Raw genomic sequence first — 23,932 nt, 5'->3', positions numbered from 1 at the left:
GACGAGGGAGACCACCCACCATGAACACAGGTGCCAAGAACTGAGCCTCCCCACTCCCTGCACCCCATCTGGTCTTCGGGAAGGTTCCACCCTCCCACTGTCTCCGCCCTGCCCCGAGCCAGGGTTTGTCCTGTCTTGTTGGCCTGTCTGGTTTAAATTCCTAAATAGTGTGGTCTTTTATTTTCTTTTTTTAAAAAGGTACAAACATCCACACGTGAACAGGGGAAACTGGTTCATCAGGGGGCAAAGAGGGGGGCTCATTTCCGGGCTGAAGGCCCCAACCGTAGCTTTGAGGCTCCGGGCTGTTCAATCGTCAGAGGCGTCCCTCCTGCTTCTGGCCACCCTAGGCCTCAGCCCGTGGCGGGTGGCTCTGGGCTGCCTCTCCGCGGGTCTCCCACACCTCGACCCTGAAGGCTGGGGGAGGATGACAGGGATGAGGGAGCAGGGCAGACCCCACCTGAGCCACCCTCTTCATTCCCTGAGCTTGTCCTTGCCCCCAGATGCTCGCCCGAGCCCAGAATGTCCTGCAGAGACCCCTCAGGTGTGGCCTCCCTCCCCTCCTTCCCCAGGGACCAGAGACTGTCCAAGGACAGGCCCAGGCAGGCTCCTGGAGATTCCAGGGAGCGAAACCTGGGCCCTGAGGTCCCAGTACCCACTGCCCATGGGCACGCCCCCAGGCAGGCACAGCCAGTCAAGGTTTGGATGCCGCAGACACGTCTCCAGCCCTTTTGAAATGAAAACATGACTTTTCATCTTTCTGTGGCGCAACTAGTTTATGATTGTCTGAAGTCTCTGAACGTGCTTCCTGGGCTCTGCATTTTGTGGCTACTTTTTCAAACCACGATGATAAAGGCAGCTTTATCATGGCACTTCCAGAGTGCCCCCTGACATCTCTGCTGCTTGGCCGGGACCTCTCACCAGACCTGGCCACCGGGCACAACCCGGCCAGCGGCATGACCAGCTGCCGCCACCTGCAGATTCAGTGGCTGGAGGTGGCCGCACAGTGAGAGGGCCGGGTGGCCAGGCCTGGGTCCAGGTCCCTGGAGGGCACTCCCCTGTCACCAAACACATGGACCTGAAGACCTACGGTAGCAGAGGGAGTGTGGCCACACCCTGTCTAACACCCACCCCCAGCTTACAGCCTCTTTCCCCCGCTGCTCAGTGCTCAGGGTGCCCCATAAGCCCATTCTCTCCCCCACGGTGGGGGCAGGGTGGAGGCTTCTGTCCCCCGATTCCACGACGAGGCTTCTCTTAGCTCTTCCCTGGATGTACATTCCTGGACTCAGCCGTGTCCCTCCCCAGGCTCTGGTGTCCCTCTGACCGCTCGGCAGAGCCTGGGGACTATGAGGTGGGGAGCCTGAGGTCTTCAACCCCAATCCTCCACTGGGTGATCACGAGTGGTGGGAGCCTTCTTGGCTCCTAAATTAATGCCAAGCACAGCCTGGCGCTCAGCGGGCAGCCTGCCTCTTCTCCCCGCACCTGGCCGGCGGCAGCTGGAAGCCCATGTGAGCCAGGCCCTCCCCTCGGGCTTGGTGCAACCTCCACCGCAGCCCCAGGGCCCACCCTTGGGAAGGCCGCCAGAGACACAGGAGATGGATCACTGGTGAAGGGTCATGAGCCGGGCAGCGGGGCCTGAGGCAGGAGCAGCAAGAGGATCAAAGCGCCGCAGGGAAAAGACACTTTAGACATCTTCCCAGGGACAGCTGCCACCTCTGCCCCTGACAGGAGGCCACGGGGAGGACACACAGTCCCCTGCCATGGCTCTCCACAAAGCCTGCACCTAAACACGAGCAGGCAGGTGGGTGAGTCCAGGCTGCGGGTCAGACACCCCCATAGAAACCCAGCTGGACTGCCACGTTAGGAAGAAGGCGGTGGGGCAGCGGGGGCGGGCAGGGCTGCTCCAGAGTCAACAGACTACAGAGCAGGACACTAATGCAACACGTGGTCCCTGACGGCTCTGGGACTGCCCAAAAGATACGCAGGCCAGTGGGGCAAAGGACATTATGGAGCGCATCTGAAGACGACCTGTTCACAGGAGGACGGACAGAATGATTGTAAACTTCTCAGGCGTGACAATGACACTGTGGCTCTGTGGGAGAATGTCCTTGTTCTTGGGACACGCACACAGAAGTGCATCTACAGGGCAATGTGTGGAGATGCTGCGGCTCACCTCAGCGAGCGTCTGTACTTGCATGTGGGTATGCAGAAGCACACGTGTGCGCGTGTACACGGATGTGTGGATATGGATACATGCATGCATGGATATCTGTGTGTGTGGACTGCATGTGGATTATGTGTGCATACAGATGAGCATGTGTGAATGTGTGCATGGGTATGTACATGTGCACACATGGATATGCATCACGGATGTGTGCGGATATGTACGCATGTGGAGGTGCATGTAGATATTCTTGTGTGCACACGCATGGATACCTGTGCATGTGGATATGCGTGTGTGTGGATATGGACACAGATGGAGAGAAAGGGAGTGCCTGGGAAAAATGTGGCAAGTGTTTGCTTGTGAGTCGAATGGAAGGTGTGTATGAGCGTTTTCTGATCATCGTATCAACGTCAATGCAGGTTTGAAATGTTCTCAAAGGATGTTTGTAGAGAAAATAGAGGTTTCTTCCTGATGTCTTCTGGCAAACTCCCTATGCCAGCTCTACCTCTGGCAGTCCAGGTGACTCAGCAGAGGGTGGGAAGAAATGCTTTTCAGACCTCGATCCATGTCCCCTGGGGCTCTGTGTGGGTGTTATTCCTGCATGCCTTCAAAGCCTTGTTACTCCTTCCAGTCCGAGGAGGCTGGCAGAAGACGCTGCCTCTGTCTTCTCCTGAATGCTGCTGCAAGGGGGGCCAATGGGTGGAGCACAGCAGGGCAGCGAGGCTCACCGACATCTCCTGCTTGATGTGATAAAGTTCACTGAGGGCGAACCAAAAGACCTCAATGTGCTCTATAGGCTCTAAGGGAACCATCCATGCTCTACCCAAAACAAAGCAGATATTTTCAAAGACTCTAAGAAGTTCGAGAGCCAAGAGGTCCCCCGATTTTGTTCTTCTCCAGGATTGCTTTGGCCATTCTGGGTTCCTTGAAATTCAATTTAAGTATTGGGGTCACTTTGACAATTTCTATAGCCAGTGGGGATTCTGGCAGGAGTTGTGTGGACTCTAGTTGATTTAGGGAGTATTCTGTCTTCCAATCCATAAACATGGGATAACTTTCCATTTATTTAGATCTTCCTTAATTACTTTCAATGTTGCTTTGTAGTTTTCAGAGTATAAGTTCTTGTTGATGCTGTTGTAAACAGATTTTTCTTTCTTAATTTCATTTTTGGATTGTTCATTGCAAAATAAATACAATAGATTTTTCTATACTGATTTTATACCCTGCAACCTTGTTGAGCTCATTTATTGGTTCTAATAGTTTTTTTGTGGATTACTTAGAAAAAACTGTAATTTTAGAGGAACAATAAAAAACTTTTTAGAGGTTAGAACTTTTACTTTTAAATATACATATGATATATGATATATATGATATATGATATATATATATATAAGATCTGGCCTCTAAAAATACAGTTTTACTTGTTCCTTTCCAATCTGGATGTCTTTTATTTCTTCTTGCCTAACTTTCGTGGCTAGAACCTCCAGTACAATGTTAAACAGAAGGCGCAATAGGGAACGTCCTTGTCTTGCTCCTGATCTTAGGAGGAAAGCATTCGCTCCTCCACCACAAGCACGGTGTCAGCTGTGGGCTCTGTCACAGATGCTCTTTACCAGCTTGTTAAGTGTTTTTCATGAATGGTGTTGAATTTTGTCCAATACTTTCTCTGCATCTATTGAGATGATTGGGTGTTTTTAATATTTTATTCTATTGATATGATGTATTACATTGATTTTCAAGTGTTAAACCAACCTTGAATTCCTGGGATAAATCCCACTTAGCCATGGTGAATTTTTTTTATATGTTGCTGGATTTTATTTACTAGTAGTCTACCAAGGATTTCTGTGTCCATAATTCGTAAGATAAACTAGTCTGCAATTTTCTTTTTTTGGCAATGTCTTTGTCTGATTATGGTATCAGAGTAATATTGGTCTCATAAAATGAATTGAGAAGCATTTCCCACTCTCCTAGTCTTTTGAAAGAGTTTGTGAGAATTGGTTTTAATTCTTTAAATGCTTGGTAGAATTTAGCTGGGAAGCTCTCTGGTCCTTGGCTTTTCTTTATGGGTGTTTTTGGATTACTAATTCAACCTCTTCACTTGTTATATATCTATTCACATTGTCTATTTCTTGTTGAATCAGTTTGAGTAGTTTGCACCTTTCTAGGAAATTTTCAATTTCATCTGCCATCTATTTTGTTCATAGTATTGGATTAGAAAAAAGTCAAAGGACTTACATTCCCAGTTTTAAGACTTACAATGCGATGGTAACAGGACAGTGTGGGAGTGGCGCAAGGACAGACACACGCATCGGTGCAGTGGAACTGAGGGTTCTGGAATAAACTCATAACCTACGGGCAACTCATGTTTGACAAGAATGTCGAGACTGTTCAGTGAGGAAAGAGCAGCCTTCAACAAACGGTGCTGGGCCAACGAACAGATACACGCAAAAGGGCGAAGCTGGATCCCTACTTCACACCACATGCAGCTATTAAAATTTTTATTTTAGCTCTTAAATAAAAGAGCTAAAATAAAAAAACTTTTGAAGGTTTTCTTTTTCATAACCTTGGATTTGGCAAAAGATTCTTACATATGACAGCAAAAGCCCAAGTGACAAAAGAAAAATAAATTGGACTTCGTAAAAACTTAAAAGTTTTGTGCCTCAAAGGACACCATCAAGAAAGTGAAATGACATCTCACAGAATGGGAGAAGATATTTGCGAATCATATATGTGAGGAAGCACTTCTATCTAGATGATGTAAAGAACTCATAAATCAACAACAAAAAGACAATAATCCAACTAAAAGTGGGCAAGAATCGGAATAGACATTTCTCCAAAGAAGAAATACAGATCGCCAAGAAAGACAAAAAAAGATGTTCAACATTATCAGTCATCATGAAAATGCAAATGAAAACCACAAGACACTGCTTTACACCCAACATGGGCTGGAAACAAAAAGTCAGAGAAAAACAAGTGATGGCAAAGATGTGGCGAAATCAGAACTCCCAAGGCTGCAGGAAGGGACGTGAGATGGTGCAGACACTTGGGAAAGCAGGCTGGCGGCTGCTCAAATGAGTAAACACAGTTACCATAGTCCCAGTGATTCCACCTTAGGTATATACCCGAGAGAAACGAAGACACACGTCCACACTGAAACTTGTACACAAGTGTTCACAACAGCACCGTTCATCACAGCTAAAAGGTGGACACCGCTCAGAAGTCCACCAAATGCTGAATCCATAAGCACAGCATGGTGCCTCCACCTGGTGGGACATTATTCAGTGACAGCAAGGAATGAAGCCCTGGGACAGGGTGCAACACGGACGAACCCGGAAACCACAGGCCGAGGGGAAGAAGCCAGACAGAAACGACCACACGTTCCATGGTTTAATTCGTATGGAAGCTCAGAAGACGGAACCCAGGGACAGAAAGGAGATGACCGGTGGCCAGGACTGGAGGGAGGGAGGGCGGCGGAAAGGCTTCTCTCTGGAGTGATGAAATGTTCCACGGTCGATGGGGATGATGGTGGCATAGATTTTTGAATATACTGAAAACCACTGGATTGTACACTTCGAGTGAATTGCACGGAATGTGAATTACATCTCAATAAAGCCATTCAAAACAATCAAGGGAGACCCACATCACATTTTCCAAACCACGCAATCCTTAATGCTGCTTGATTTCTTATTAATTCCATTTTGAGTGAGATTGATTTTTTTCATGTATTTGATGAAAGTTTTTCTCTTATAAATTCCTGTGCTTTCAAACTCATTTTTAGAGGGGCTATATCAACTTTTAAAAACTAGGGTATGGACACGGAGTCATCTTTGCTGCTAATGTTGGTTTTCAAACCTAGTACCAGCATGTTCGAGGAGCACGTGGCTTCCTCCTAACACGTGGAGTAGTGTTTCCTCCCTGGCTCACAGCCTCCACTCCCCGGAGCCTCTCTCGCCCTGCACGACCCAGGCTCTCAGAGCTGCTCTCGTGCTGGCCCCCGGTGCTCGCAGCTGGCATTTATCGAGGGCTCCTCTGTCCACAGCACTGTGGAACCACCCTCCATGCACGAGTGAGCGTGCACCTCACAACTATCCTGGCATGTGCATTTTACAGCCAGAAAACCAAAAGTCCGGACGACCAGCTGACCCCAGCCCTACGCCTCACCACAACCCCGCACATCACCCACACGAGCACAACGTCCTTCATTCACTCTGCACATCCCACACCTCACTACACCCCTGCACGCACCTCACTACACCCCTGCACGCCACCTACTCGGGCACACGGCCCTTCATTCACTCCACACGCACACCCGTGCTCCTGCTGCAAGCCCAGCCTGCTCGCAGCACTGAAGATGCGCTGGAGAACAAAACCTGGCACAAAGTGAACTTAGAGGTGATTTCGGGAGGCAGGAGGTACCATGGAGCGAATGTGTCACATGGGAAAGGGTAGAGGACGCCACGGGACGACCACGCCAGGCCAGGATGTGCAACGGGGAAGGGGCCGAACAGAAGACAAGAGAGAGCGACAGCGTGGCAGCCGGGAAGCACGTTCCCCACAGAGGGACACTGAATTCTTGCGTGGCAACATGGCCCCCCAGTGGTAGGGCCAGACACCTACTCGCCCTGTGACATCCTGGCCACCCAAAAGAGGACAGGCAGTCCTGGCTGCCACTGGGAGGACGGTCCCCTTCCTAGGAGTCTGGAGGGCCACCAGATGTCCAGTGTCCCTCGGACGCATCTAGGGGATCATGCAGCAGGCATCTCTCCTTAGTGCTGCAGCTCAGCTATTCCTCTCCACCAGCAGAGCCGCGTAAAGGGGCACGGGGCCGCATTGCTCTCATAAAGACTCTTCACCAGGAAATTGGCACTTGATTTGTGTTTTCACGGAGGCCTCCCTGGGGACCCGGCTGCAGCCCGGGATGTGACAGACAGGTACAGGACCACCCAGAGGCTTCACTTTTCGCCCACGTGGGAGAAAAAGGGCCGCCTGTCGGAGAACAGTTCAGCACAGTCCACACCCCGGGACCTCCTAGGTCCCGAGAGACCACAGTGCAAGGAGGGAGCCCTTGGCCGAGGCTCCTAGCTCTGGGTGGCCAGTGGCAAAGCATCTCCACCACCGGGACTCTGCTGCGATGCCGAGCTGGGCTGTGAGGGCCAAGGAGGAAAGGCACGGGCGGCCTTTCAAGCTGGTGAAGGCCCACTTGGTTTTCAAGGGTTTACCAGGTTGCTCCTTAACTGGGTTTTCTCATGGAAGGCCCCAGGGCAGGCTCACACAGCCAGGTTCCCATGGGGCTGCCAGACCTACCCAGACCCCAGCTGTGACAGCCACACTTGTGCCGGTTGGGGCCATGGGGTAAGCACCTCCCAGGCACCAGGACCTGTGCTGGATGCAAGACCCAGCTGTCCTCCAGGAATCCACCCACACCAGCACCGCCGCCCACACCAGCACCGCCGCCCACACCAGCACCGCCGCCCACACCAGCACCGCCGCCCACATCAGCACCACCACCACCCACACCAGCACCACCACCGCCCACACCAGCACCGCCGCCCACATCAGCACCACCACCACCCACATCAGCACCGCCGCCCACACCAGCACCGCCACCCACACCAGCACCACCACCCACATCAGCACCGCTGCCCACACCAGCACCACCACCGCCCACACCAGCACCACCACCCACATCAGCACCGCTGCCCACACCAGCACCACCACCGCCCACACCAGGACCTCCGCCCACACCAGGACCGCCGCCCACACCAGGACCTCCGCCCACACCAGCACCACCACCGCCCACACCAGGACCGCCGCCCACACCAGCACCGCTGCCCACACCAGCCCCGCTGCCCACACCAGGACCGCCGCCCACACCAGGACCTCCGCCCACACCAGCACCACCACCGCCCACACCAGGACCGCCGCCCACACCAGCACCGCTGCCCACACCAGCCCCGCTGCCCACACCAGGACCGCCGCCCACACCAGCACCACCGCCCACACCAGGACTGCCACTCTTGGGCCTGGGCGTGCTCATCCGAAGGGGTCCGGCCCTGCTACTACCCGGCGACAGAGACTACGATGTCCAGGAGTGGAGGAAGTGGAGGCAGAGGCTGACAGGGCAGCGCCTGCCCAGCTGACAGAGGTGAGGGTGGGCTCAGGGGCAGGGACACCCATGGTGAGTGAGACACATGGGTGATGTGCAGCCAGAGAGTGAGGGGCCCTCCCCACAGACACGACGTGTGCCTCTGTGGCTTCACGGTTTTCATCATGCTCTGCAGTTACAAAAATAAAACTCACAGGTGGGATTTAAAGGAGAAAAAGCAAGGCACGGGCACAGAACGGGCAGGGTTTCCTCACGTGCACCCTGTGCACCGGTGGTATCCAGTCATGGCCAGTGTCCAGGCTCAAGGCTGTGGCCCCACAGCAGCTACGGTGGGCAACAGGGCAGCGCCACCCACTCAAGGGCACAGCCGAGCTGCAGGACTGTGCAGTCAGGGCAAATGGGCCTCCCCGCAGGACTGCGTGGATGAGGGCGAGGTGACCTCCCCTGGGCTGAACCCCACACAGTGACTGTGAGAAGCACACAAGATGCACAGTCCTCTCCCTGGAGTGAGGGTCCCAGGGGGTCACCAGGCCTGTGCTTTGGCAGGGAGACCCCGAGACCCCATGGACCCTGTGCTGAGGGCGGCCTCCCGTGGCCTTGGGAGTGGCATGGGGAGTCCCTCCTTTATGGAGAGAGCCGTGTTCCCAGCAGCGTGCTCCATCCTTTAAGGACATGGGACATTTTCTGCTGGAAATAGTTGCATATCAGAGGTGGGCGTCTGAGGGGGACAGGTGAGAGCTGACCCGGCGCCATGCCATAAGCTGGCCCTGCTCAGAGGAGACCTGTTGGCGTGAAGAGCCAGCGGCAGAACATGGGAAGCTCACGGCCGTGTTCTGTAGAAGGCGCCGGCTGGTGAAGCAGAGATGGCAGATCACGGAGAGGAGCAGGGGGAACATGAACAGCCCGGGACGGGAACCATGGCCAGAGCCACCGGGCAGCAGGACTGGAGGACCCGGTGGGGGCACCTCCAGGCCAGGAGCTGGCAGCCCTCGAGGTGGGTTCAAGCGTCCCGAGGCCTGGAGGCAGCTGCTGGGGCAGGTGGGGCACCTGGGATGGGCATGTGGGGGTTTTATGATTTAACACAGGAAAACTCTACCTGGGCATCTGTGCTGTCCCTCATCTTCTGGGGACAGTAGGGGCAGCGTCTTGCCCCATTGCTTCCCCCTCTCCCAGTACAGAACCAAAATAAGACCTCGATGAACCCTGAAGGGCAGCAGGTGGAGGAGCGTGTGCCAGAAGTAGAGGTGAGGGACCAGGGCCACGCAGGAGCAGCCTCTGTGTGTAGGGGAGCTGTGGTGTCCAGAACCTGCAAGACCCCAGGTCTGGGCAGCTGCAGCAGATTCCGCCCATAGTGGGGAGATGGGAAAGTCTGTTGTAATTCCCAGGGCCATGTGAGGCGGTGGGCAGAGCTTGGAGCGGAAAGGCGGGTGTCCCCGGGGTTTGCATCCCGGGGGCAAGCAGTGAGGTCTCCATCAGCCTCGGCACAGCGAGAGAACTGCTGAGCCTCCTATGAGTGAGCGTCCCGTGGTTCCCACGCACGATAACGTCCTAGAAGTGCTGATCTTGCCCCCAGGTTCCAGCCCTGCTCCCAAGTTCAGATCACCCAGGGTGCTGGGAAACCTCACCCTGCCTGGGCCCATGGCCAGGGGCCAGTTCCTAGCTCCAGGTCTGGGGCGGAGTCCGGCATCGACATTTCCAAAAAGCTTAGACACGATCCCCACGTGCAGCCAGGGTGTGACATAAACCCCCGCAGGCCCTGACTGCTTCCGGGGAACGTGGTTCAAACCCCAGCAGGCCCCGACTGCTTCCGGGGAACGTGGCTCAAACCCCAGCAGGCCCCAGCTGCTTCCGGGGAACGTGGCTCAAACCCCAGCAGGCCCCGACTGCTTCCGGGGAACGTGGCTCAAACCCCAGCAGGCCCCGACTGCTTCCGGGGAACGTGGCTCAAACCCCAGCAGGCCCCGACTGCTTCCGGGGAACGTGGCTCAAACCCCAGCAGGCCCCGACTGCTTGCGGGGAACATGGCACGGAGGCCCAGGACCTGGAGCCAGGGGTCAGCCCTGGGCAGGGCCTGAGGAGCCCACCCAGCAACTCCCAGTGGACCCCTGGCAGGCCTGAAGCACCCGCTTTCCTCACAGACAGCAAGGGGCAGCTCTGGACCCTCTCCGTGGGTGGGCAAGAAGCTAAGGGGCTGTGAGAGCCCAGGGAGGCCTCTGCTTCTGAATCTTGCAGAGCTTGGAGAACGCAGCAAATTCCAGCGGGAGCCTGTGTGCACAGGTGAGGAAGCTGAGCTGGTGCGGAGCAGTCACACAGCCACAGCCACAGCCGACGTTCCGACCCCGCAGCCCTTGCCCTTACATCCCCGAGCGTCGGGGGCTAGGCCGGAGACGTTTGCCCCATCATCGGAGGACCGGCCCCTCCGCCCATGCGGCCCACGGCCTGCCAGCCTCCGCTGGCGCTTTCTGGGTGCTGGCCCCACAGAAGGGGTGGGAGGTGCGGAGTCGGGGCACCAGCGCGCAGCCCGAGATTTCCCAGTTTGCTTTCGCTCAGGAAGTCATCAGACAAACACTCCCATCTCCCAGGCCTAGTTCCCACTCCTTGCTACATTCACAGCCGGAGACTGTAATGGACTTCACAGGCTCGCACTGAGCACTCAGGGGCGCAGAGAGCGGCATTTCCCGAGCATCTTAGAGGCCAGGCTCTGTGCTTGGCGCCAGGACGAGCTGCACTTCCAAATCCAAACCCTGCTTGCTGCACGCGCCCAAAGCCGCCCAGGCTGGCAGCAGCTCCGGGCAAAACACGCTCTGAACACGGCCGCAGCTCGCAGACCCGGAGGCCCCGCGCACAGGACTTGGCCCAGGACGTCTGGAGCCCGCGCGACGCGCTTCCGTCAAGCCAGGGACCGGCCGCCAGGGGGAGCCAGAGGCCCAGGCATTTCTCAGCAGGCACCGAAGTCCCAATGGCAACTTTCACCAATAAGTTCACTTTGCTCTTGGTTTCGTCGGACGTTTTTATGATGAACGTAACGCACACGTTGCGATACGTAAAGGCCTAGAAAGTAAAAGGTCATGACCTCTCTGCCCACCAGCCCGTGACCGGCGGGCGCCCGGCATCCACACGGCCTCTGCTCACACGCACACGAGGCACGCACCAGAGGAGCCGAAACGGAACGCGCTGCGCCCTCCGCGCCCCTGGACCACGGCCACTCGGGCGGTCCAGGCCTGCCTGGGGTGCTGCGGAAGAGCAGGCCCCTCCCACTGTGTTCTGTTGCGGAAATGACCAAGGAACACGTTTGCTGATTACAGCACTGTACATAACAGCAACAGATAGGTTTTCTCGAATTAAAAAACGTTAAGTGTAGTTTTTAACAGACACATAAGGGTCACATTTGTGGGATGCCTGGTGGGGTCAGATGCGGGTGATGAGCGTGGCCTGCACCTCCGACAGCCTTTCTTTGCGCTGGGAACGGCCCTGCCAAATTGCCATGCAAGTCCCTAAGCACGTCCTGTGGCTTTCGGTATCCATCTCCACACAGACCCACAGCAGCCCCTCGGCCCCCACCGGCCCCCAGACCACACCAGGGAGCCCCGGGTCGCCATCTGGAATGTGCCTCTGGATGCCAAGTCACATGTGGGCATCTAACTTCACTTTCTTCCTTCCGGCTGCACAGACAGACCTGCTAACGTGTCTAATAAGCCACTCTGCCTGCAAGGATTAGATGCGCCTTTGTCCACGTGCTGTGGAGCTTGCGTGGCCCTGGCACCCTGCAGAGGCGTCCTGAGCCTCAGTGGACTCCCGTCAGAGTTGAACAGCCATGGAAGGGCTCAGTGCAAATGGGGTCTTAGCCTCTACAGCACACACTCCCTCTCCACTGCCCCTTTCCCTTTCCTGCCCTGAACACCAGCCCTGCAGAGTAGCCCAAAGCCCTGAGAAGGGCAGGCCGTGCAGCCGGCAGGAAAAGTAAACCCAACATCGAGAAAACAAGGATGGGTGCACAGTGTGACCGGCACTCCGTGCCCAGGCACCCAGGGATGAGCTCCAGAGGCCAGGTCCGGGGTCCCCTGCCCAGCCCTGGAGTGTGAGGGTCTGAGTGTGTGAGTGTGTGTGTGTGCAGGAGAGTGCCTGTGTGTCTGAGTGTGTGAGTGTGTGTGTGTGCAGGAGAGTGCCTGTGTGTCTGAGTGTGTGTGTGTGCAGGAGAGTGCCTGTGTGTCTGAGTGTGAGTGTGTGTGTGTGCAGGAGAGTGCCTGTGTGTCTGAGTGTGTGAGTGTGTGTGTGCAGGAGAGTGCCTGTGTGTCTGAGTGTGAGTGTGTGTATGCAGGAGAGTGCCTGTGTCTGAGTGAGTGTGTGTGTGCAGGAGAGTGCCTGTGTGTCTGAGTGTGAGTGTGAGTGTGTGCAGGAGAGTGCTTGTCTGAGTGTGAGTGTGAGTGTGTGCAGGAGAGTGCCTGTGTGTCTGTGTGTGAGTGAGTGTGTGTGTGCAGGAGAGTGCCTGTGTGTCTGAGTGTGTGAGTGTGTGTGTGCAGGAGAGTGCCTGTGTGTCTGAGTGTGTGTGTGTGTGTGCAGGAGAGTGCCTGTGTCTGAGTGAGTGTGTGTGTGCAGGAGAGTGCCTGTGTGTCTGAGTGTGAGTGTGAGTGTGTGCAGGAGAGTGCTTGTCTGAGTGTGAGTGTGTGCAGGAGAGTGCCTGTGTGTCTGTGTGTGAGTGAGTGTGTGTGTGTGCAGGAGAGTGCCTGTGTCTGAGTGTGTGAGTGTGTGTGTGCAGGAGAGTGCCTGTGTGTCTGAGTGTGTGTGTGTGTGTGCAGGAGAGTGCCTGTGTGTCTGAGTGTGTGTGTGTGCAGGAGAGTGCCTGTGTGAGTGTGTGTGCAGGAGAGTGCCTGTGTGTCTGAGTGTGTGAGTGTGTGTGTGTACAGGAGAGTGCCTGTGTCTGTGTGTGTGTGTGTGCAGGAGAGTGCCTGTGTGTCTGAGTGTGTGTGTGCAGGAGAGTGCCTGTGTGTGAGTGTGAGTGTGTGCAGGAGAGTGCCTGTGTGTCTGTCTGTGAGTGAGTGTGTGTGTGCAGGAGAGTGCCTGTGTGTCTGAGTGTGAGTGTGTGTGTGCAGGAGAGTGCCTGTGTGTCTGAGTGTGTGTGTGTGCGCAGGAGAGTGCCTGTGTGTCTGAGTGTGTGTGTGTGCAGGAGAGTGCCTGTGTGAGTGTGTGTGTGTGCAGGAGAGTGCCTGTGTGTCTGAGTGTGTGAGTGTGTGTGTGTACAGGAGAGTGCCTGTGTGTCTGTGTGTGTGTGTGCAGGAGAGTGCCTGTGTGTCTGTGTGAGTGTGTGTGCAGGAGAGTGCCTGTGTCTGAGTGTGAGTGTGTGTGGAGAGTGCCTGTGTGTCTGTGTGTGAGTGTGTGTGCAGGAGAGTGCCTGTGTGATGCTGTGGTGTGAACAGCACACACCCTCACCTGCAGAACCTTGGCAATAGAACCCACCTTCACTATGTACAGGAACGGATGCAGACAGCAGAAGCCCCAGCCACAGCTCCTGCCACAGCCAGCTGCTCCCCAGCCAGGGCCCCGCGCAGCCCGGCTCGCCCCTAGCCAGCCCCTCCCTAGCCAGGGTTCCCCCAGCCATGGCTGCCCCCCAGCCAGCAACTCCCCAGTCACAGACCCCCAGGCACGGCACTCCCCCAGCCACAGCTCCCCAGTAGCCACAGCTCCCTCCCTCCACAGCTTCCCCGCCAAGCCACATCTCCCTCCCATCAGGGACCCCACAGCCACGGCTCCCTCCTTCTAGGGCCCCCCACCAGCAGTCCCCTGAGCAGCCTCAGCTCCCTCCCCACCAGACCCCCTCCCCCAGCCTCAGCCCCACCCCAGCCACAGTTCCAGGGCTGCAGGGGTGGGGCACTTTCCCGCCATCCAGTCCCATGGTCCCCTCCCCAATGGGAGTTCCATGTGGCCTCCACGTGGCCTGAGGCACAGGCGCCCACAAAGACGACTTTTTTGCCGAACCGAAAGCCCTCTCCTTCCAGATAGAGCAGGAAGTAGAATCTCCACTCCCCAGCTTTAAAATCACAAGAAATGAAGGAAGTCAGGAAAATGAACACAGATTCACAATGGGGCGGCGGCACAGTCCCTCGTCCCTGCCCAGCTCACGCAGGCTTCTGCCCACTGCACACGCTGGATGGGCCCCGGGTGAGGGTGGCTGCTTTGCTGTGACACTGCTGTACAGCTCACTCATCCCTGGGCCTGGGACCTCCTGGCTGAGGGTCTCCTCAGCCCAGGGGCCCACCATCAGCTCAAGGAAATCAAGGGCTAGAATCACTGTCACCCACGTGGGCATTCACCAGAGGGATGGCAGCCCTGTAGGTAGGGTTTCAAATGAGCCCCCTTTAAACATGCTCTTGCTCACAGAGGATACTGTCTGCAAACGCTGCACATTGTGCTGGCTTTATAAACGCACCCAGAAGATGAGCCTGAGGCCCCAGTGTCCCCCTTGCCGACTGCAGTGGGCAGGAATTGGCCACCCTGCCTGGGCCATGGACCCACAGCTCTGCTGTGAAGGATAGTGGGTGAGGCTGGGACCCCAGGGTGCATCTCACAGGGGCTCAAGAGAGGGGCACACGGAGTTACTGATGGGAAGAGCATTTGTTCATAGGTGTCCCAATTGACAGACCCACGATCCTGAATGCAGAGGAGGCCGACACCCTCCGAGCAGACCTGTGCCAGGGAGCGCCGGGGGGACGTCCAAGGGGCCCATAGGTACTCGGGATGCCCCAACATGCCTCAGCCCACGGCAGACCCTTCACCCTATAGGACTCCCAGCTCCCCATCCACCCAGCGTCTACCCCAGTGGGCAAACGCTCACTTCCTGCTCCCTGACCCCACCTCTGCCCCAGCCAACCTCTGACTCCCTCCCGGACTCCCACAGCCTGGCCCTGCCCGTGCCTCCCACCTGACACATGGAGGCCGAGCTGGGGCTCAGAGGGTGGGTGCTCCCCAGCCCCCAGGGTCACTAAGAACGGGCTGCCCATTCCTGGTGGGTCTGTGCTCAGAGGGAAGGCCAGGACTCCATGGCCCAGCTGAGCACCTACACTGAAGGGGCTTCTGAACCCAGACCTAACCAACCCACCCATGGACCAAACAGCTGGAGGTCTGCAGGAGGTCTCTGATGGGGACGCCCCCACTTCCTCCTCCTCCCTCCGCCCACCCCCACCCCACCTTCCTCCTCTTCCTTCCTCCCTCCCCCCACCCCCTTCTTCCTCTTCTCTCCTCCCGCCCCCACCCCACCTTCCTCTCTTCCTCCCATCGACCCCCTACCCACTTCCCAGGACTCACACCTGCAGTGCGGCATCCCGGCATCCCTATATCTGTCCCCAGGAGGGCGGGTTCACCCCACCATCCCCACCTGCACCCACAGAAGAATGGGGACCAGGGCTGCGAGAAAGCAGGACAGTGGCTTTCCTTCAGCCCTTGGTGCTCCAGGGACAAATCCCACTGAGCACGTCCCTCAGGAAACCATGCAGGGTCAGAACCAGCCCCCGGCTTCCCCTCTGACTGGGCTTTCCCGACCCAGGCTCTCAAGCCACAGCCTGTCAGCATCACAGGAACCAGGGCCTGGTCTAGGACCGGCTGTTCAAAGGCCCTGGGTCACCCCTCACCAGAGAGACCCCAGCACAGCCCAAAAGAGAGAAGCGATGCCCCTTTCCGGGAAGCCCGGCTCTGGGGGCTGCAACCCACCGGGACCCCCGCCAAGACGTGGGGGAGCCCCCATCTCCCCACTGCCAGTCAGCCCAGATACATCCACGAACCACCTGCATATACAGTCTTTGGTTAGGAAGGAGGTGGAAGTGGAACGTCCAGATGCAAATTCATTCAGCCTCTGCCACCCTCTGAGGAGAAGATGCACTGGGTTCTTCTCCATGATTTTTTAAAGGCTGTTGTAACAGCCCTGCTTGTACATGCCAAGCCTCTGAAGCTCACAGAGCCACGGGAAGCCCTCACCCCGACTCAGGCAGGGAGTCCCAGCCTCTGGCCTGATGCTCAGAACTGCTGCAAACCCCCCCGGAGAGAGCAAGGAAAGTAGGTCTCATGCACAGACTCTCTCACCTGGACCTGTTAATGGCTGCCTGGGGGGTCAGATGGGAAAGGTACCTGGTTTCTGAACTGAGAACAGAGGTTTCAGGAGCTCCTGCGCCCGTCCCAGCACGGGCCGCCTGTCCCCGAGGGCAGAAATGCTGTGGCCCTGCACCCTCTGGTCAGATGCTTCTGTCCTGCCCTGCCACAACCCCCTCCTGCAAGAGCTTGAATATCACCACCCCCCGGTGAAGCCACTGCCTCTGGGTTTCTGGATCATGCACCCATGAGCCACAGGAGCACAGGCTTGCACAGGAAGTGTCTGCTCACACACCTGGCCCATGCACCTGCTCACACACCTGGCCCATGCACCTGCTCACACACCTGGCCCATGCACCTGCTCACACACCTGGCTCATGCACCTGCACACACATCTGTTTGGCACCTGAGCCCCCAAAGGGTGGGTGTTCATTCCCCTCCGCCCCTGATGGTCTCTTTCCCACCGTGCACAAAAACTGGGGTTCCTGGGGGGCTCACCTGACACCACCTGGCTCCTGGCACCTGCTCAGTGCCCCTCAGCCTGTCATGCCATGCCACAGCCCCTCCCCTGGCCAGTGCTTTCAGTGAACCCATTTGCAGGGGAGAAAAACTGAGGCACAGAGAAGACACATGACCCAACAGTCACACGGCTGGCCAAAGAGATGCTGCCTGTCAGTGTAAAGAAAATTATCGAATCCCACATGGGACCAAGAGCTCAGGAATGTGAGCTGCTGGGGGCTCCAAATGCCATCCAGCTCATCTCCCCCAGGGGTGACTTCAAAAGGTGTTCTTGCAGGAGCTCTTCTCATAGGACAAGCCCAGCTCACAGGGGCCACGACAGCCACGCGAAAGGAGCCTCCTTGCAGGCCCTGGGCCGGCATCTGTTGGATCAACCTGAATCCACCCGAGACCTGCAAAGTCCCTGGTATTTTCTTGGTGCTCTGTGGCCCTGCTCACCTTCCAGACAGAACTACTACCAGGCACAGGCACAGACGCACACAAAGACGACCAGAGAGGCTCCCGGGCTCCACTCTCATGGAGCTGGTCCAATCCACACACAATGGGTACTAGCAACCTCAAATTTTAAAGTTTGTTTAAAGCATGTTACCTATAAAAATAAAGGGCTTTTAAGAGCCGTAAGTGGAAAGATTGAACTAAATGTTCTGTCCTATCATCCAAACTTTCTGTCCACATCTGAACAAACCCAGCGCGTCCCTCTCTCCTTGTCCTTCTATAAACTCACAAGGTCAGAAGGAATCAAACATGAAAGGGTGTCCGTGACCCTCTCGAAATGAAGCCATTGTTGCTGTTTTCTTTGGCTAAATGACTCAGTCAAGTTTCGAAGAGGATTAACATCTGTGTACACTGCTGTTTTTTCTAGAACCTATTTGGGGTTTCTCATACTTATTCTAGGAAAAGTAGATGCAGGAGGCACCTCTCCCTAGAGGGGTGAATTTAGTGGGACATTTGGCATAACTCTGCCGGAGGGGTTGGCACAGGCATCTGTCTTCTGCAGCCTTGATTTCTGTGGGTGGAGGGTGAGGCCCCTCCCGGCTGTACCGAGGGAGGCCTGCACAGGGCTGGCTCACAGAGCAGGCTTTTGCTGTAGGACAGCCTGCTACGGGGCCATGTCCCACCCTGACCCACAGAGCCACGTGCCCAGAGACATTTCAAGGAAGCTTCCAGATCCCAGCCCACGGACCCACGGAATGGCTCAAGATTCCCGCCAGCAATCACACAGAAACTGGCCATTGTCCTGCCGCGCTCTGACCCCAGCAGTATGGTCCAGATGCTCTGACTGGAGCCACAGGCTCTGAGATGCGGCAGATGTTAGGACTCGAGGGGGTTCTCACCCAAAAAGTGGGTGATGAAAAATGGCAATGTGGCTCCCAGCAGGGCCTGCATAGCCCAGGGGGCTGTGTCTGCAGAGCCTCCAGCTGAGCACCCCAGTCCATCCCACTCCAGGCCCTGTGCAGAGGGAGAGGAGGCCGCTAGGTAAATATCCACCTGATTTAAACCTGGAGGCAATCAATGGACCACATCACCCACAACATGAAGTGGGGGGTCCCTCAGCGGCATCTGCAAGGCTGCCTGCCACAGACTCTCACTGAGACCCTGGAATGTGGCCTCCGCCAAGGCCACCTCCGCCAGCCCAGCCCCAGCCCCAGCTCTGACCTTCAGGACCCCCCATGAGGGCACCTGTCCCCCAAATCCAGGGAGGCCCTGCTGGGGCAGGGAGAGGCCTGGGGCTTGTTCCAGTCTGTGCTCTGGAACTTTCCTTATCTCCAACCTGTGTCTGCTCTAAAGTGCTGGAAGGAGGCCAGTGGGGACCGAGGTGGGCACCGCCCAGGGCCTGCAGCCCACAGCAGGCTCAGCTGTGGGAGGGTCTCCATGGGCTTAATAGGATGTGGGCCGGGAAAGTAGCTTATGACACCCTTGTTAGCAATGGGGCAGGAATGAGAGCAGCCGTCACCAGGGCAGCAAGTGCAAACCAAACCAGGGCTGCCCTTGGCAGGAGCAGTGACCACCCACCCACTCACCCGCCTGGTACCCCCGCTGTACCCCGAGGAGCTGAGAGCAGGGGCTCTGCTGCCCCCACCAATGCGCGCGGCTTAGACCGTCCGCGACGGCCTGCCCTGCCTGTGCCCAAATTGTCTCAAATGGCAGACACCGAGAGCCGCAGAGAGCCAGCTGGGATTGTCTTGGGGGCCTTGGGGTCTGCTGGGCCCTCCAGAACATCACCACTTTCCGGGGGCTTCCAGGAATCGGTCAGAATGAGTCCACCCTCCTGTGGGCCGTCTAGGCCTGGCCTCCACCCCTGACCCCCAGGGCCGCCTGGTCCTGCCTGCCCCCCTCCCCTGGGCCGCCGAGTCCTGCCTGCCCCCCTCCCCTGGGCCGCCGGGTCCTGCCTGCCCCCTCCCCTGGGCCGCCGGGTCCTGCCTGCCCCCCTCCCCTGGGCCGCCGGGTCCTGCCTGCCCACCTCCCCTGGGCCGCCGGGTCCTGCCTGCCCCCCTCCCCTGGGCCGCCGGGTCCTGCCTGCCCCCCTCCCCTGGGCCGCCGGGTCCACACACGCTCCGCTGTCTCTGCAGCCAGCACTGGCCCTGCACACAGCAGGTGCTCGGTGGAGGTCACCTGGGCCTCCCCAGGTCTCTGCAAACACTGACCCTCTGTCCTTGGCCCAGAAGGGGTGGGACACCCTGTCTGTCCGTCGCCCACCCTTGGAGAGCACAGAGGCAGGCTCCCTCCCAGGCCTGCCTGACAGCCCAGATAAGCCGCTATGAATGGAATGCGACCTCCTCCCGCACAGGAGCGTCACCCCCAGCCTCAAACCAGCAAACAAACCACCTGGAAGCCAAGAGACCAGTGCCTGCCTGAGAACAGTCCTGCTCGGCCCGCCCGTCAACAGGCAAGGGCACCCCGGGACTTATTTCTAGGTCTTTCTACGGACTTGATTTTCAATGGCCCAGCTGACTAAGGGCGGGCGAGGTGGTCTACGTGTTCTGTTCCATCTGATCCGCCTTGCTCCCGAGCTGACCCTGCCTCATGGGGTGACCACGGCCGGCAGAGCCTCGTGATCCCGGCTTCCCAGGGCAGCCCCACAAAGGAGCTTGCTTTGGTGGACGAGTGCGGGCTGAGGGCCGGGGAAAGCCAGCCGGGCCACTGACGCTCCCTTGCAGTGCAGCCTCCTGCCTAGAAATAAAGGCAAGTTCTCCCAGACCAGCCACGAGACCCCGGGCCGAGACGCGCCATCTCCACATTCTTGGGCTTCCAGAGACTTAGGCAGCCACCCACGCGCTCCATCAGCCTTTGTAACCGGACCCGGGGTCACCAAGAATGACCCTGAACCTGCCCAGAGTGGATGCCCCACCCGGTCCCTCCTCAGCAGCTCCCTTGGGCACAGCTGGAGCAGAAGCCCAGGATCCCAGTCTCGAGCCCCCTCCCCAGCAAGCAGCAGGCAGCAGAGGACCCGGGTGGCAGGCAGGCCCCTCCTGCCATGTCAGTCGTAGCCTATGAAAAGGCTGTGTCCTCCCAGAGCATTCAGGGTGAGAGGCACCGGGGAGGTGCTTCGACCTATTCAGAACCTTAGCTCTGACCACCACAGAGTTCCACACGCTCAGGAGAAGGCGAGAGGGCGCTAGAAAGATGGCGGCCCCCAAACCATGACCCCACTTCACATACAGGAGAGGGCGAGAGGGTGCTAGAAAGATAGGGGGCCCCCAAACCATGACCCCACTTCATGGACACAGCACATGCAGGCGAGGGCGAGAGGGCGCTAGGGAGACGGGGGGTCCCCAACGAGAGGGCGCTAGGGAGATGGGGGCCCCCAAACCATGACCCCACTTCACATGCTGGAGAGGGCGAGAGAACGCTAGGGAGACGGGGGGCCCCAAAACCATGACCCCGCTTCACAGACACAGCACATGCAGGAGAGGACGAGAGGGCGCTAGGGAGACGGGGGGTCCCCAATGAGAGGGCGCGAGGGAGATGAGGGCCCCAAAACCATGACCCCGCTTCACAGACACAGCACTCCTGGCCTGGCACCGCTGTAGAGACAGGAGCCGTTCTGCTGAACCAAGGCGGGCAGGCTTGGTTGGGGGAGCCCAGGTCCCGTGCACATGGGCCCAGAGGAGGTGGGGAGGGGGCACTGGCAGCTGAGGACACACTGGCTTTCACATGCCCTGGAGAGGATGCTGACAGGGGCTGCCAGAGCCTGTCCGTCACCCGCAGTCAGGCTCCCAGCTCCACCGTCCTGGGATCCTGCCGCCTGCTCATGAGCATGTTCATTAGCTCAGAACTCAAAACTAGAAGATGCCTCCAGCCCCATCATGAGACTGGAGAGGGGAGAAGAGGAGACAGGAAGTGGAGCCTTCCTGGGCCATGTTCTATGCAGCCGAGCCTGGGTGCTGGGTGCACAGTGGGTGACTGAATGATGGAATGGGCGGGCACTGCCAATCAACGTCCGCTGACTCCCTCTCCTCCTGCTGTGGGCACTGCCCCTTCCTCACAGGGACCTGCAGCAGCCATCGCTGACAGCGACCATCACCCACAGCTCCCCGTGGCAACTGTGCACCTGCAACGCCCATGCCTGGGACTCTGGCCTTTCATCTTGGGGAGCCCTGGCTGAAATGTTTTCCAAAGGAAAGGAGACAGGGAAAGAGACTCTCAGATCCCTCCAGGGATGCAGTTAAAGAAAGCTGTAGTCTCGGCTGGGCGCGGTGGCTCACGCCTGTAATCCCAACAATTTGGGAGGCCGAGGCGGGCAGATCACAAGGTCGGAAGATCGAGACCATCCTGGCCAACATGATGAAACCCCATCTCTACTAAAAATACAAAAAAATTGGCCGGGTGGGGTGGCGCGCCTATAGTCCCAGCTACTCGGGAGGCTGAGGCAAAAGAATCAGTTGAACCTGGGAGGCAGAGGTTATAGTGAGCCGAGATCGCACCACTGCACTCCAGCCTGAAAACAGAGCAAGACTCCGTCTCAAATTAAAAAAAAAAAAAGAAAAGAAAGAAAGCAAGCTATAGTCTCGAGTGCAGAGACATTTCAGGCACATAAAACATGCTTTAAAACGTAGAGAATCTATGGTGGACTATTACACACCCATGAAAAGGGATGAATTGTGGGTCTGCACAACACCACGACGTACCTGGAAACGTGAGGCTTGTGAGAGGAGCCCGAAACAAAAGGCCTCGCACTGCGGGAACCACCTGCATGAACGTCCAGAACCGCCGATCCAGAGGTGGAAAGTGGACTCGCAGGTTCTTGGGGCCGGGCGGTGGCTGCGTGATGGCCCAGGGCTCCCTCTCTCCGGCGTGTGAATGTTCTAGAGTTGGGCAGTGGTGATGGCTGCACAGCCTTCTGGCTGTACTAAATGTCACCGAATTGTTCGCTTTAAGATGGTTAATTTTATGCGTTGTGAATTTCACCTCAACTTAAAAAAGTTAAAGAATCCAATCGTTTCCAGTCCTTCAAAAGATGGAAAATGCCAGGGTGGAAACTGGTGGCCTCGGTCCTGGCTGCTACTGAAGTCTCCTGATCCCAGAGACCCCATCCTTGGCCACGCCTGGCTGGTCACCCCTGCACGCCGGGTCAGCTGAGGGTGCCCCTGGCCCCACCTTCCTCAGAGCGGGCTCAGCCAGTCTCCCGGTTCCCACAGCGCTGCGTCTTTGAGGCCCGAGGCCACCCTCACCACACGCTCCTCAAACTCTGAGAGCCCCCAGGCCCAGACGCCGCCTGCCTGCAGGAGCGCCGGACCCCAACCTGCACAGCACTCAAGATGCACACTCGAGCTGCCCACAGAGGGATGGGGGCAGTCAGGAAGGCTTCATGGAGGAGGTGGTGCCGACGGGCCTTGGCCGGCGCGAGCAGTGGGCAGGAGTAGGCTGCGTTGGCTGTGACCCAGGAGGCCTCGTGTCCTCCCGGCTCTGCAGGGCCAGGGACAACATCTCCCAGGACAGAACAAGCAGGGAAGTCCTGACCCAGTCAGACTCATCCAGGCCCCGGGTGTATGAGTCACCTGGGCTCATTAGTCAGGCCTGAGCTCATCGCCAGTTGCCGGCGCATTCCCGAGGCCTCGCCCCCCTTCCGCTGGTTCTCAGTCCTGCAGACCCAACCCCAGGGCCAGGGCGCATGGGAGTCACGTGATGGCGACCAGCATGAATGCTCGGCCCGGCAGACCAGTTGTCTGGCAAAGGCACCCAGAGCACTGGCCACCCCTCACGGCAAAGTCCAGGGTACGCACAAGCATGCACAGAGACCTCAACACCCGCCGGCCTGCCCACCCCACCTGGAGAATTCCGCTCCCCGCCCGCCGTGGTGCTGGTGTGTCCAGACACACCGCAGAGGTGTGAGGTCAAGAGCAGGGGTGGCCGCGGAGCAAGAGGGGGCCTGCCTGGGGGAGGCGGAGCCCATGGGCACGGCACCCGGGCACACAGTCTGGTCAGTGCCAGGCGGGTCAAGAGGCCTGAGGCAGACATGGGAGGCTGGTGGGCCAGGGGAGCCAGAAGCCTCAGGGACTGCTGGTGAGTTACTAGGGGCCACATCTGGCCTCCTGATTCAATGCCAGCCTTAAGAATTGCCCCAGAAGAAAGGGGTGGGGAGAAGCCTCCAGGGGCCACTGGCAGGACAGCAGGGGGAGGTGACACTGTGATTTAAAAGGTCGAGAGAGAAAGGGCTGCGATGGAGGTGGATATGGCACCCACACGGAGAACAGAAAGCTGGGCCCAGCCCCCAGCGTGGCTGCCATTAACACTGAGTCCAGATATTCCAGTGACCAGGCCCTACACACGCTCCGGAGAGAGCCCGGCTTTTTAAACTGCAGCAGAAAGCAAACGCACAGACATCGCCTTCCAGAAGTGTGAGCGTGAAGCTGGGGTGTCTGCACCTCAGGAGTCTGCCCTGCTGGAGTGCAGCCCTGGGACAGCAGGGCTGAGAAGCCCCTGCGTCCTGAGAGCACCTGTGTGCACGGCACCCCCGCATCCCCTCCCCTCTGCTCAGCCCCCTGCTGTTCAAGAGGCAGCTCCTTCCACCGCGGGGAGCATCAGTCCCAGCAGCATGGGTACCCTCCAAGGCCTCCCTCCCAGACCCC

The 23,932-nt window shown here is 57.7% G+C and overlaps 1 protein-coding gene and 1 long non-coding RNA gene across 2 annotated transcripts in view, besides 10 other annotated features; both read right to left on the bottom strand.

Moving 5' to 3' along the window:
* Positions 1-23,932, bottom strand: part of COL18A1 (collagen type XVIII alpha 1 chain) — a 108,556-nt gene that overhangs the window by 62,972 nt on the left and 21,652 nt on the right. The gene's annotated exons all lie outside the window — the stretch shown is intronic.
* LOC124905042 (uncharacterized) lies at positions 152-12,390 on the bottom strand. The gene is made up of 2 exons (XR_007067909.1): positions 9,364-12,390; positions 152-414 (listed from the first exon to the last, which is right to left on the bottom strand). It is a non-coding gene; the product is annotated as an uncharacterized LOC124905042 (long non-coding RNA).
* Positions 8,007-8,516: an enhancer, noted in NCBI's record as "H3K27ac-H3K4me1 hESC enhancer chr21:46862147-46862656 (GRCh37/hg19 assembly coordinates)". NCBI's record gives its function as "activates a minimal SCP1, AML or CMV promoter by ChIP-STARR-seq in primed H9 embryonic stem cells {active_cell/tissue: H9 hESC(primed)}" and the evidence as "EXISTENCE:reporter gene assay evidence [ECO:0000049][PMID:30033119]".
* Positions 9,697-10,426: an enhancer, noted in NCBI's record as "H3K4me1 hESC enhancer chr21:46860237-46860966 (GRCh37/hg19 assembly coordinates)". NCBI's record gives its function as "activates a minimal SCP1, AML or CMV promoter by ChIP-STARR-seq in primed H9 embryonic stem cells {active_cell/tissue: H9 hESC(primed)}" and the evidence as "EXISTENCE:reporter gene assay evidence [ECO:0000049][PMID:30033119]".
* Positions 10,427-11,156: an enhancer, noted in NCBI's record as "H3K27ac-H3K4me1 hESC enhancer chr21:46859507-46860236 (GRCh37/hg19 assembly coordinates)". NCBI's record gives its function as "activates a minimal SCP1, AML or CMV promoter by ChIP-STARR-seq in primed H9 embryonic stem cells {active_cell/tissue: H9 hESC(primed)}" and the evidence as "EXISTENCE:reporter gene assay evidence [ECO:0000049][PMID:30033119]".
* Positions 11,157-11,886: an enhancer, noted in NCBI's record as "H3K27ac-H3K4me1 hESC enhancer chr21:46858777-46859506 (GRCh37/hg19 assembly coordinates)". NCBI's record gives its function as "activates a minimal SCP1, AML or CMV promoter by ChIP-STARR-seq in naive H9 embryonic stem cells {active_cell/tissue: H9 hESC(naive)}" and the evidence as "EXISTENCE:reporter gene assay evidence [ECO:0000049][PMID:30033119]".
* Positions 15,671-16,520: an enhancer, noted in NCBI's record as "H3K4me1 hESC enhancer chr21:46854143-46854992 (GRCh37/hg19 assembly coordinates)". NCBI's record gives its function as "activates a minimal SCP1, AML or CMV promoter by ChIP-STARR-seq in primed H9 embryonic stem cells {active_cell/tissue: H9 hESC(primed)}" and the evidence as "EXISTENCE:reporter gene assay evidence [ECO:0000049][PMID:30033119]".
* Positions 17,720-18,716: an enhancer, noted in NCBI's record as "H3K27ac-H3K4me1 hESC enhancer chr21:46851947-46852943 (GRCh37/hg19 assembly coordinates)". NCBI's record gives its function as "activates a minimal SCP1, AML or CMV promoter by ChIP-STARR-seq in naive H9 embryonic stem cells {active_cell/tissue: H9 hESC(naive)}" and the evidence as "EXISTENCE:reporter gene assay evidence [ECO:0000049][PMID:30033119]".
* Positions 18,717-19,715: an enhancer, noted in NCBI's record as "H3K27ac-H3K4me1 hESC enhancer chr21:46850948-46851946 (GRCh37/hg19 assembly coordinates)". NCBI's record gives its function as "activates a minimal SCP1, AML or CMV promoter by ChIP-STARR-seq in primed H9 embryonic stem cells {active_cell/tissue: H9 hESC(primed)}" and the evidence as "EXISTENCE:reporter gene assay evidence [ECO:0000049][PMID:30033119]".
* Positions 18,717-19,768: a biological region, named in NCBI's record as "H3K27ac-H3K4me1 hESC enhancer GRCh37_chr21:46850948-46851946".
* Positions 19,584-19,768: a silencer, noted in NCBI's record as "fragment chr21:46850895-46851079 (GRCh37/hg19 assembly coordinates)". NCBI's record gives its function as "represses an EF-1alpha promoter that drives an FKBP-Casp9 reporter gene in an ReSE screen in HepG2 liver carcinoma cells and phorbol 12-myristate 13-acetate-treated (for megakaryocytic differentiation) K562 erythroleukemia cells {active_cell/tissue: HepG2 | K562(+PMA)}" and the evidence as "EXISTENCE:reporter gene assay evidence [ECO:0000049][PMID:32094911]".
* Positions 22,716-23,388: an enhancer, noted in NCBI's record as "H3K27ac-H3K4me1 hESC enhancer chr21:46847276-46847948 (GRCh37/hg19 assembly coordinates)". NCBI's record gives its function as "activates a minimal SCP1, AML or CMV promoter by ChIP-STARR-seq in naive H9 embryonic stem cells {active_cell/tissue: H9 hESC(naive)}" and the evidence as "EXISTENCE:reporter gene assay evidence [ECO:0000049][PMID:30033119]".

The sequence above is a fragment of the Homo sapiens genome, chromosome 21 (genome assembly GCF_000001405.40).
Source record: "Homo sapiens chromosome 21, GRCh38.p14 Primary Assembly".
Taxonomy (NCBI): domain Eukaryota; kingdom Metazoa; phylum Chordata; class Mammalia; order Primates; family Hominidae; genus Homo; species Homo sapiens.
Note: the sequence above shows the minus strand (reverse complement) of the source record. Positions and strands in the feature narration are given on the sequence as shown.